Consider the following 12708-nt stretch of genomic DNA (forward strand, 5'->3'; position numbering starts at 1 on the left):
TCTCTCTCTCTCTCTTTTACCCAGCCTTTTCATCTCTTGCAGTTTGCTTGGCATTTCACCATTTGGAAGAAATTAGTATCATCAGTACCTCTGGAGTTTGCACTATGCTCTGCTTATAGATTGTGTATAGTTACCTGCTAAGATGGTCCTAAGCACATGTCCACGGCCTCAGTTCAGAGTATACTTAATGCTCCCTATTCAGTCTTTCTGTTCCCGTGCTCCAGTCCGTGAAGTCTAGAGTAAAATAAGAAATTGGCATTTATATACATCTCCCCTCCTCATCTTTAACTCTTTTGAAGAAGAGAGTTTTAGTATCACATTCATAAGAAATTTCATCTTTAAAAGTTGGTATTACAGGCGCAGTGCCTCACACCTGTAATACCAGCACTTTGGGAGGCCAAGGTGGGCAGATCACCTGAGGTCAGGAGTTCAAGACCAGCCTGGCCAACATGGTGAAACCCCATCTCTACTAAAAATACAAAAATTAGCCAGCGTGGTGGCGGGTGCCTGTAATCCCAGCTACTAGGGAGGTTGAGGCAGGAGAATCACTTAAACCTGGAGACGGAGGTTGCAGTGAGCCGAGATCACGCCACTGCACACCAGCCTGGGCAGCAGAGTGAGACTCTGTCTCAAAAAAAAAAAAAAAAGTGAGCAATATCTGTGGTTAATCTCAAATAGGGTGGCTTTCCGTGTCATTTCCCTTTAGTTGTTTTTAAATGCAGATGTTGCTTTAATTAAATAATATTTGAAATAAGTGGGGTCCCAACTATAACCTTATATCTTATTGTTTTTAAATGTTGATATTTTGGTGTTTTCAGTAGAATTTGAGCTGTTAACAGTGATTAGGTTTTTTCAGTTTGTCATCGATGTATGTGACCTCGTTATAATACACATGGATTTTTGTCTGCTGGTTGTGTTACTCATGAGCAATGTGTTCTAATTATGGTATTTTAACTTATAACTTATGAAAAAGTTATGTTTCACTCTAGGGAACAAGTCCTGAAGAACCCTCAAGCCCTAAAGTACCACCTCCACTTCTTCCTGAGTTGCTGGTTCTTATTTTTGGTGGGCTTCAAGGAAGAGGTGGGTGGTGAGGGTGTCTGTATATGTGTGTTTACATTTGTAGACAGTTTCTGTACATGTATAATTAGGAATGGGTTGTCGGTTTTGGTTTTTTTCCCAGCTTTATGTAATTGGTCAGACTTCTCAAAGGGGGGTAGCACTTGATAATCGCTCTCTTGGAACTCTGAAGCCTTTGCATGGAGCAGTGTTCACCCTGGGCAGCCTGTGGCCCCTGGGGTCACAGAGCTGCTTTCCAGGGGGTTTGCAAGGCCGTCACTGCCTCATAAGATTACCAAGATCTAATTTACCTCTCACTGTGTGGACGTTTGCCCTGGTGGTGCAAAGGCAATGGTGAGGAATATGGCGCCTTTCTTTCATCGAGCAGGACAGCGGTGTTCAGCTAGCAACACACCAGTCTGACCCAAGAATGTCCTCGATAAAGCATGAAGTTACTGGTTTTTTAAGTCTCAACTCTTTTGTATACCTTTTTAATTTTGTTTTTGTTTGGGTTTGTTTTTAGTTTTGTTTTTGTTTGGGTTTGTTTTTAGTTTTGTTTTTGTTTGGGTTTGTTTTTGTTTGGTTTTTTGGTTGCTCAGGCTGGAGTGCAATGGCGCAATCACAGCTCACTGCAGCCTCAACCTCCCCAGCTCGAGCATTCCGCCCACCGCAGCATCCTGTGTAGCTGGGACTACAGGCAAGCACCACCACACCCAGCGTGGTTTTTTGTTGTTGTTGTTTTGGTAGAGCTGGGGTCTCACTGGGTTGCTCAGGCTGGTCTCAAACCCCTGGGCTCAAATGATCCTCCTGCTTTGGCCTCCCAGAGTGCTGGGATTAGAGGCGTGAGCCACCGCACCCAGCCTCCTTTTTAATTTTGCGTGACGAAATGCAGAGTTCACATGAAGCCGTTCTAGCATGCTGGAGTGTGATGGCCGTCTCGAAGAAAAGCGCCCATGTGATGTGTGAGTTATGAGCCAAAATAGCCACTTTTTCCAGGAACTTTAAATTATGAGAATAGTAATGTAAAATCATTTTTACTTGACAGAACAAAAAGCAGACAAACTGTGGATATTAAGACTTAAATATTTGGCTGATATTTTCTAGAAAATCTATGAAGTGAGCTTATCAATTGAGGGGAAAACAACTGCGACACTGTTTTTGGCCCATGGTAAAATTTGAGCTTTCAAGAAAAATTTGAACTTTGGAGAACTTTTATCTGCCAGTGTAAATGTGGCAGCTCCCAGTGCCACAGACTCTTCTGCTGAGAGGGGTGGTGACATTAGCAAGTGGGGTTTCTTGATGTATACGGTGGAAGGTCACACACCACATGCAGCAGTGTGTTCTCAGTGACCAACGAACGATGCTACAAACAAGCGTGGGTGAAGAGCCACCAAAGTGTAAGACACACTGCCGGGTGTTCATGTAACTGACAGGTTCATCAACATGGTTTCAGATTCCTCATTGCAACTAATCTTTAAGGAACTATCACTTGTTGAATTTTAGCATAGGCAAAGAAGAACATCGGCAATTTTTTGAGAAGCATTGAAACCTCCCTTTTCCCACCAGACGTGTCTGTCTGAGCCTGGGGTGTTTCTTTACATATACTTGAACCAGAATAGCATATCACAGCAAGTTGAACACAGAAGCATGTCGGCAGATCCGCCTGTCTTCTGTTGAGTATTGAAGATACATGCAAAAATGTACAACATGGCCATTTTCTCGCTGGTTTCTTTTTGAAAATAAGGTTATTTTCATAAAATATTACTTAACATGAAGTGAACCTATTGCTAATTTAATGAATAAGTAAATATTTTTAAAATTTTCAAGTATGGTCAGTATCAATGGATATAACCCCCATAATCAAAGCTCTTTAGGGTTCTCCATACTTTCTAAGAATGTAAATAGGTCTTGACACCAAAAAAATGGAAAACACGTGGACTTGGAAGTTTTTCTCGAATGGGCTGGATGTGACCCTGACCCTGTTTTTACCAAGCCTCCTTGGTTTTTTCCCTCTTTTCTCTAAAAAAAAAAATAAAATAAAAATAAAAATAAAAAAAAATTAAGTAGTCAGTGGAATCATCTAAACTGGTCTCTGGGACCATGAGAGCTGAGAGCATCCGGAGCCCACCTAACCCTGAGCCTTCCTCTTGCCTTGGTCAGTTTCCTTCTTTGTTTTTCAAATCTTTTTTTAAAAGCCATTTTCAAGTAATCAATTAATATGTGAATACGGCCCCATTTACATTTTTTCTTCATTGCAAATAAAACTGAAATTTTCCCTAACCTTATCCCCTGAGATTGGTCTACCATCCCCACATCTCAAAGTGACTGCTGCCTGGAGTTTGCTGTGTGTCATTCCAGACCATTTTCTCCCTGTGGGGGGTGGGTGGGTGGGTGTGTGTGTGTGTGTGTGTGTGTGTGTGTGTATTTATCCACATAAATAATATAAATATGTATTTATTCACAGAGTATATAGCATTTTTTGTTTCATTTCTTTAAAAAATTGACATGAGAGCAGTTTTAGTAACAAAAACCTTTTATACGTTTTTAGGATCTTGGTGGCGCTCTCGGTTCATAATGCTCTGAGTTGGTGTTACGTCATATTATCCTGTATTGTACTGTGTATACATACGTTACGTAAATGCTTAATGTGGTCTCGCATGTTTTTCTGTGAATTTGGCTTAAACTTTCAGACTAGGCATCTAGGAGGTGGCGGCAAGTGGAAGGTGGAGCTGTCACAGACACTCGGCCCCCGCAGCCTGTGCATAGGTGCTCTAGGCTAATTTTACAGGTGTGATGACCGGGCCAGAGTGAAACCATGTTGTCTGATTTTAGAACAGAGGTCACTTATGCTTCACCAAGCTGCTGGAAATGTGGAATTTTGTTTCTCAATTATTGGACCTGGTCCTGAGGAGATGTTTCCCTTTAGAGAACATCATTGACGCTTTTAAGAGTATTTTACTAGATGTTGAAAACGTTGAGGTCTTATTAATGTAGTGACCCCACCACCACCACCCCCTGCCCCCCCCCCACACACACACATCCCTTGCTAAATTATTACATCAAATCATACAGGAATCTGGCGCTATCAGAGCCAGGGTTAAGGCCTAATAGTGTCACTAGTTACTGAGCTTCTTGATTAAGTCACCTTACTTTCCTGAATCTCCAAATAAGTTACATTAAAAATGCATCTGATTAAATTACTTATTTTAGAGGGAATTGGAAGAATTCTGTGATTGGCGTTCCGATCTAATCCCCCAAAGAGAAAAACACGAACGAGAATGAACACATTTCTCCTTTTATATTATTCTTAGTTAAGAGAAATGCTCTGCCAGGAGAAAACTTAAATGACTATCCAATGGGTAGGGTTTTTTAAAAGAATCTAACCAATTCAGATACTTTTTCTTTTTACACAGTCACAAATGATGTTATGTTGATGTGTTTTTATGACTTACTCTTAAACAACATTTAAATTTAAGCCAAAGTTAAAGTTGTGATTTTGGGAAATTTTTTTACTTATCCTTCCTCTCTTCCCGACTTCCTTCCCTTAAGAACCCCATTCTTATTTTCTCATTTATATCCTGGCTGAGGCTATCAGGTATTGAAACTGGCCTTTTGAAGACATATAAACTTCTGGGGACTGACTTTTCTCATTCAAATAGTCTAATATCAGTGGATATGAATTCTGCATTTTTTTACTTCTAAATCTTATGCGTCATTTAAATGTTAACTTTCAAAATATTAATCTTGAATTTTCACATTTTTGTGTGAGTTGGAATTATTATCCAATTAAATGAACATAAATTATACTGCCTACATAGATTGGAAAAATATCTTTTGGTGGGCCGTGTGTGTATATGCACCCATGTGTTTATGTAAAACCAAACATCAACTTACAAAAACCAGTTCAGTCTTATAGCCTTGTATAGTGTAACATACGGGCTGAGACATTTGCTTATTTGAGCCTTTTCACCCTTTATTTGTAAAAAGGAGGAGAGCCTTTAAGTGAAATGTAAACTAAACTTGGAACCCCTAAAACGATTTTGAACACTACTTGACATTTAAATGTTTATTAAAAATAAAGCAAAGTTTAAGAAGCATGTTTGGTAAAGAGTTCTTTGGCAGGAAATGGGGACCTATCAGCCAAGCTAATAGCCTTAGCTATGGCATCCATAGTAACTAAGACACGCTGCCGATGTAAATATTTATGCCAGCAAGCAGTGCTGCAGAACCCGGGCCGAGCAGTTCAGAGCAGTGAAATTAAAGCATCAGCCGCCAATGTTTGATTTATTTTGTATTATCCGGTATTCCAAGCATTACCATCATTCATCTCTTCTAGGGTTTTTCAAAATAGTTTAGCCCTAAGAACAAGAATCCTAGAAGACCAGTTTACTCGGAGTAATTCGGTACCCTCTCCCCCACAGCATGATAGATACCCAAATGAGAATAGAGAGGCTGTTATTGTTTGTCATTAGCACCCTGGAACCTTTTTCATCTTCAAAGCTCCTCGCAAAAGGGTTCATTAACCGTCGCCCTCTTTCCTGTGAGAGAGTAAACAAGTATGATTAGTCCTACTTTGACAGCGGTGGAAACTGAAGCAGAGAGGTTCTCCAACTTGTCTGAGGTCCAAGAAGGAGCTGGTGACAGAGACCAGATACCGGACCAGCACTTGGGTTTTCTGACTCACGGTTCTGGGCTCACCCCTCTCTGAGCATGCACTGAGCCTGCTCTTGCAGGTTTCTTTATCACAGGGATCTATCTACACGGTACTTTCTGCTCTCAGCTTTTTACAGTGGTGTAGAGTGCAGTGCAGCTGAAACCAGGTTAGTTGATCTTATGGTGTCATCTAGAAAAACAAGAGATGCAGATTCTGGGTCACGAAGGTAAGGTTGTACTTTTAGGGTTTGTGGTTATGGATGAAATTAACTTATCTGAGCCTTACATTGTCTCACTAGGCACAGTGCCCACTTGTTCCGTGGCACAGCCCCAGAGCTCCTGTTGAAGGAACAGACTCCAGGACTGACTTTCCACTTGATTTTCGGAGCTCGCACATCCCGAGAGATTCATGTTCAAGCTGCATTTTAGACATAGCTGGCAAGAGTATTTTCGTGGTAAACGTAAACTTACTATTGGTAAAGATTCTTAATGAGTAATTCTTAGGATTTAGTACAAAATTAGATATATTCTTTTTATTCGTAATGATATAGCATGAAGTTCTTGCGGGGTAGGAGAGAGAGGTATTCATCTGAAAACTGGCTCTGTTTTAGTGTAGACATTTGTCTACGGGGAAACAGTAGGAAAGCATCAAGAAATATTTCTTGATGTGTACAATTGAAGTGATGTTTACAATGTAGTGAAAAAAAAACCTATGCACGCATGTTCCTGATTTTAATAAAGCTCTGCAAAGATTTCCTTCCTCATTCTTTGCTTTTGATTCAGCATATGTGCTGTTGCTAAGTTAAGTGTTGGTAACCCTGTGTCCTTTGTTGGGCCAAACAAGGTTAAAATTAAGACGAAAAAAATTTCTGAGTTCATTTCAAATGGAAGGACAACATGATACCTAACACAGAAGAGAACAAATTTAGTTTTGACTTTCTGCCCTATGTCCACCTAAAGCTGTATTTCACTCACTCACTAATATTTAGAAATCACCCACTTGGTGGTTGGCTCTGTGCTTAGTGCTAAGAACTGGTCGTGTTATAGGTGCTGTGGGTGCGTGTCTGCGCTGGCTTCAGGAGGAGGGAGCAGGCCCTGTGGGGCCCAGCAAGGCCTCCCAGGAGAAGCAGTGTGTTAGCTGAAGTTTAATGAACTAATTGGTGGTCCTGGGATGCAGTTGGGAAGATGGGATGATTCAGCCTGTTGGGGTATGTGTTGGGGGTGGTTGTTGCACTGTGGTGAGAAAATTCCTGGAAAAGGGTGTATGTCAAAAGGGTGTAAGTAGCATCCCTTTATGACTGATGAAAGGAGAGCAGCCGAGAGCAGTTAAGTGGAAGGCAAGACGCAGCAGTGGCTTCTCACGCCATCTTCGTCACTACACAAGGGGAAGTTGGGCTAAGAATAAATTTGTTTTGGTTCCAGGATGAAACTCAAGAGATACAGAAGAAACTGAAAGTGATACTTTTGGCAGAGGGATAGGATAAGAGGGTTTTCAGCGTGTGTGTGTGTGTGTGTGTGTGTGTGTGTGTGTGTGTTGATGAATTTATTACTTATTAAAAAAATGTAAAGAAGGCATAGCATTAAAAGTGGGAGACATATACTGATAATGGAATCCGGGCATTGCTATCTTTCTGTGTCTTAGAAGTTACTGCTATGATTTTAGCCACTTAACTGGCTAGAACAGTTTTGAAAGGCCAAGATCATGGGTTTAAGATTTGAGACTTGGCCAAAAGGTAGCTTTCCTAGTCCTTATCGTAGAGTGCACGCTCCCAGCTTTTGCCCAGCCTATTTGGGGTGCACACGCTCATCGATGAGGGCAACAGAACACAGCATGCAGGCGGAACTGTGCAGGTCAGTCACCACTCCACCTCCTAGCCAGGGTGTCACTCCAATTCCATCATTCAGGTTTCACTGAACTTTCATGTTGGCATTTCATTTAGTTGAATGAACCAGTTTTGTTGTATTTCAGATATTCTCACTGTGTAGTTAGCCTGTTCAGTTTTTGTAGGTGAATGGTAAAGCTGTCAAAACCAGATCTGCTGAAAACCAAAATGTTCAGTGTCATCTTCAGCAGAGGGGATTATCAGAAACTTCTGGGGCAGTAAGGGAAATTTAAGAAGGAAGTTGGGGAAGGTAGGACCTCATGGCTTTGGTTTTTCTGGTGGTCCAAGAGAGGAGGCCTCTAGAGAATTGAGGGGGAACAATAAGTGACAAGCATGAAGAATGAAGAGGGAACTGACCAAGGATCGGTGAGAATAGGAGGTGGCCCAGAGGGCATGGTCAGATGTGGCTATCACAGCTGTCACAGCAAAGTCTTTATGTACTCCGAGAACCAAGCCTTTATCATATATATGTTTTGCAGATATTTTTCTCATACTGTGGGTTGTCTTTTTCACTGTCTTGATGGTATCATTTGCAGCACACGTTTTTAATTTAGAGGAAGACCAGTTTATCTTGATTTGTTTTCTGTCTCCTATGCTTATGGTGTCATAGCTATGAAACCATTGTTGAATCCAGACTTACTCTTACACATTCTTCTAAGAGTTTTTTAATATGAATTCTCTTACATTTGGTCTTTGTTCCATTTCATGTTAGTTTTTATATAGGGTGTGAGGTAAGGGTCCAACTTCCTTTATTTGCATGTGAATATCCAGTTTTCCCAGAACCATTTGTTGAAAAAACAATTATTTCCCTCATTGAATGGATTTGGCACACTTGTTGAAAGTCAATGGACCATAAAAGGGTTTATTTCTGGATTCTCTATTCCATTGGTCTGTATGTCTGTCCTTATGTCTGTACCACACTGTCTTGATTACTGTAGCTCTGTTGTAAGCTTTAAAATCAGGAAGTGTGAACTCTCCTACTTTGTTCTTTTTTTCAAAATTGTTTTGGTATTTTGGGTCCCTTTTGGTATATTGGGTCCATTTTATTCAATGATGTAATGATATGTGTGTTTCCATATGAATTTTAGGATCAGCTTAGCAATGTTCCTTGTCTCTTTCTTCTAATTCTGTAGCCTTTCCTGGGTTAGAATCAGTTAGACTAGGACTAGGACAGTGCTCCCTGGAATCTGCCCAGTAGCTGCTCTGACTGTGAGCAGAGAACCTGTGGGCATCTGGGCACTTAGTCTGAAATGGTCCATAAGGAACCCCTAAAATGTTTAAGTTTCTGAAATCCCTGGTTGTATTGTAAAAAGCTATTTGAATTTAGTATTCTGTTTCATGATTATTATACTTAAGTGTAAAAATGTTTAACTTTTTTTTTTTTTTTTTTTTTTTTGAGACGGAGTCTTGCTCTGTCGCCCAGGCTGGAGTGCAGTGGGGTGATCTCGGCTCACTGCAGCCTCTGCCTCCCAGGTTCAAGCGATTCTTGTGTCTCAGCCTCCCGAGTATCTAGGATTACAGGTGTGTGCCACCACACCCTGCTAATTTTTGTATTTTTAGTAGACACAGAGTTCCGCCATCTTGGCCAGGCTGGTCTCAAACTCCTGACCTGAAGTGATCTGCCCGCCTTGACCTCCCAAAGTGCTGGGATTACAGGCTTGAGCCACTACACCCAGCCTTGTTTAACATTTTTCAGCTGCATGGAAAACTGATATTCTAGGATGTATATTGCATTTATCATTTATCCTGTGGCTTTATGCACCCTCCAGAATGCATACCCCAGCATAAAAGGCCAAGTTAGGGAGAAACCTGCCTGCTGGAGTTCTTAGATTTATAAATCTTGTTTCCTTAACTGTCTGCCCTCTGACCTCTCCAGACCACAGCCAGCAGAGGAGAACTAATGGGCAGAGACAACACTGATCTGCTGCCATCTGCACTGGGCAAGATGGCCTCACCTGACTCACAGCTGTTGCTTTCTCTCGCGAAGCTTCTACCATTTTCTGCTGATTCTTAAAATAGATTTGGATCTTGTCAATTTTGGTCGTCAAAAAGATTGAACTTTTACAGGATGAAATCCATTATTTTCCTAAATTATCTCGTTTTGGGAAATCAGTTCTCGGCCATAAGTGCAGGCTCAGGTGTGCTAAGGAGGGCACCCCAGACACCTGTGCTGCTCTTTGACAGGACTTACCTGTCAAAGGCGAAAATAAGGGTGATGTCATGTGAGTTTTCCATTAAGCTAAATTTATTCCATGTACAGGACTATCTTTTATTCTGAAATTGTCTTCTTGTTCCCTATAACCTCATATTGGAAGTGAGATACTGTCTTTTTGGGTATTAAAATGTCTTTTTTGTAGGATCTTTTTTTTACTGATCTTATTTGTATGTTAGGATGATAGCCCAGTGTCAGTCCTCAGGATTCTTTATGAAATGTTCCTAGTCTGTGAAATTCTAACTCTACAATTTCAGTTTAGACCACAAATCCCAGATTTTTACCTTGTTTACATTTGTAGTTACCACATAATATTGCAAATGATTTATGTAACCTCAAAGCCCATTTTTTTATTCTTTTCATGTAAAATGTCCAGAATAGGCAAATCCATAGAGACAGAAAGCAGATTAGAGGTTGCCAGGGGCTGCGGGGAGGGAGGAAGGGGGAGTAGTTACTTACAGGGATGGGGAGTTCTTCTAGGATCATGAAAAAGGTTTGAAACTCGACAGAGGGCTGATTGCACAACATTGTAAATGCACTAAATGCCCCTGAAGTGTACTTGAAGTGGTTCATTGTATGTTATATGAATTTTCCATTTTTTTGAAAAGCCCATTTTATTCAGTGATATAATGATATATAAGAAGACCTGAAGGTGTAGGGGGAGTGTCGTATTCAGAGGATATACATCAAGGCAAGGATACTCTGTATGCTTGTACACACACACAAATACATATACACAAAGAACATACCTATTATTAATTTCTGTTTCTAAGTATGATCATTAGAAGCTGATTAGGTAAATAAACTTTCTGCTTTGGGACAAGCAGAAAGATTTAATTAACACTTAACTGAAATTCACAGATACTCTTTTTTTTTTTTTTTTTTTTAGACAGTGTCTCACTCTGCCTCCCAGGCTGGAGTACAGTGACACGATCTCGGCTCACTGCAACCTCCGCCTCCTGGGTTCAAGCAATTCTCTTACCTCAGCCTCCCGAGCAACTGAGACTACAGGCGTGTGCTACCATGCCTGGTTAATTTTTTGTATTTTTAATAGAGACGGGGTTTCATTATGCTGGCCAGGCTGTTCTCAAATTCCTGGCCTCAAGTGATCCACCCGCCTCGGCTTCTCAAAGTGCTGAGAGTACAGGCGCAAGCCACCGTGCCCAGCCTCAAAAGATATTCTTTTTCTTACCTCAAAAACTATGTTTTCCAACTTTTCACAGTGGAAAGTTGAAGTCGTGAAAATATCCTCAGGATAAATCTGAATCGTGTTTCTTTTATTGCTGAGTCTGGTTGGCGTGTTCCTGGTATTTAGTGGAACTCTGGTCAACACAGGCTGAAGTTAGTGGGGTTCTCTCTGTGGGGTTCTAACCTTGAAATAGGAGCATGGGGCTTGCCTTCCCCTTCTCCATTCCTCCAAGAAAGAGAAAGGAAAGGAAGAGAAAAGAAAAAGCATCCTGTATTATGTGTAAGTTTGTAAGAATCCTTACTATGAGTTCTGAGTACAACATCTTTTTAACTCTTTTCTCTCCCTCTCCTGCTTCCTTCTTCAATCTCCAGCTACCATTCATTTCCTGATTTCATTTATAGGTCTTACCAGGCAAGAAGGCCAAGCAGAAGGAACCTACATCAGGGAAGTGCTGGGCTACGGGCCCCACCTGGACTTGGGGTTCTGGGCAGCCTGAACACAGGTTTCTTAGTTTCCTGAAGTAATTGAGCTTGTTGCCTTAACTTCAGTTAAAACACTGATCGTGCTTTACTTTTAACTGAGCATTGAGACCTCTTATAATATTCCATAAGGCTGGATATTGTTTTGAGGAAGACGATTTTTCCTCTTAACCTTGCCTCTGTGTTTGTGTGTGTGTTTGGTCGGTGTTTAGACAGTTTTCCATGCATGGACCCTGATTACAGCGGGAGCAGGCAACGTGAGGTGCCCGCAATCAGACATCCAGCTCCACATGGTGGCCTCCCTGCCCCCAGCTCATCCTTACGCAGTGCCTTCAAATTGAGTGTCTTCAAAGGTGCTGCTTAGTCTCACTTTGGTTGTTGTGTCGCTGTCGTATTTTTCTTTTTTCGCAGTATTGAAATGTTCACTCCTAGGGACCGAACACTGGTTTTAGTGTCCATAGTGGCAAAAAAAAAAATTTTTTTTCAAAACTTGTTTCTATTTGGTCCTCTGTGACCCAAGTTGTTGCTTAGCTTTCCTGCCTAGTAAGAGCCAGAAACGAGATTAGGACGTGAATGGTATTTTCTGAACCCTCAGAGTGTGTACAATACCATTTTGTAAAGAAAAGCATCTATATTCAAGGTAGATCTAAATAATTCCTAGAAATGCCAAATTGTTCTCCCATTCATTTTTCAAGACAAATATGTTCTAATCCATAGGAGAGTGAGAATTTCCAAGTTCATTAATTCGGGTTCCTGTTACCAACTCATGTTTTACAGCCCATATGAAGTTTTGTTTCACTGAAACCTTTGATTATCACAAGTAGAACTTGGGAACTCTACACTGCTGTCTCCAGACAAGACACAGAGTTTCACTTACATTAACAAAGGATGATCCATTCAGAACTGTAAACAAATGCTACATTGTGCCCTTGGTGGTTGTGACCCGATTCAGTCCTGCTTTGAGGCTGAGGACAGCCAAGTGTTGGCCCAAATCAGCATAAATCAGAGCAACAGAAAATCCACCCGAGGTGGGGCCCTGGATTGGACGTGCTTTGGACAGCAGGTCCACAGCCTGCACCTGAATGAATCCTGAGGCGGGCTTCTGACTCTGCTCTAAACACTCATCCTGAAGTGTATCTGGATCATTTTAAGTACCACTCTAGCAGTGGTACTTAGTTACAATTAATATAAACATGTCATTCCATTAAAAGAAACCTGCAGCTTCTGTTAAGT

At 41.1% G+C, this 12708-nt stretch overlaps 1 protein-coding gene across 29 annotated transcripts in view, besides 3 other annotated features; it reads left to right on the forward strand.

The window, feature by feature from the left end:
- The window catches only part of PPP2R5C (protein phosphatase 2 regulatory subunit B'gamma), a 167420-nt gene that overhangs the window by 57430 nt on the left and 97282 nt on the right, over positions 1–12708 (forward strand). For 4 of the 29 annotated variants that reach the window (NM_001161725.2, XM_047431530.1, XM_047431533.1 and 1 more), the window contains one exon: positions 990–1083. The exons of 16 other annotated variants lie outside the window; for them this stretch is intronic. In NM_001161725.2, the coding sequence (NP_001155197.1) occupies positions 990–1083 (94 nt within the window). Of the gene's footprint in view, positions 1–989; positions 1084–5619; positions 5940–6011; positions 6189–9471; positions 11829–12708 lie in introns of those variants that run through there. 9 more of the 29 variants (XM_047431539.1, XM_047431532.1, XM_011536918.2 and 6 more) reach the window with 7 other exon arrangements.
- Positions 2522–2781: an enhancer, noted in NCBI's record as "active region_9048". NCBI's record gives its function as "activates an Ori minimal core promoter by ATAC-STARR-seq in GM12878 lymphoblastoid cells {active_cell/tissue: GM12878}" and the evidence as "EXISTENCE:reporter gene assay evidence [ECO:0000049][PMID:35858748]".
- Positions 6985–7134: an enhancer, noted in NCBI's record as "active region_9049". NCBI's record gives its function as "activates an Ori minimal core promoter by ATAC-STARR-seq in GM12878 lymphoblastoid cells {active_cell/tissue: GM12878}" and the evidence as "EXISTENCE:reporter gene assay evidence [ECO:0000049][PMID:35858748]".
- Positions 7195–7244: an enhancer, noted in NCBI's record as "active region_9050". NCBI's record gives its function as "activates an Ori minimal core promoter by ATAC-STARR-seq in GM12878 lymphoblastoid cells {active_cell/tissue: GM12878}" and the evidence as "EXISTENCE:reporter gene assay evidence [ECO:0000049][PMID:35858748]".

Source organism: Homo sapiens, chromosome 14, assembly GCF_000001405.40.
Source record: "Homo sapiens chromosome 14, GRCh38.p14 Primary Assembly".
In the NCBI taxonomy this organism is placed as follows: domain Eukaryota; kingdom Metazoa; phylum Chordata; class Mammalia; order Primates; family Hominidae; genus Homo; species Homo sapiens.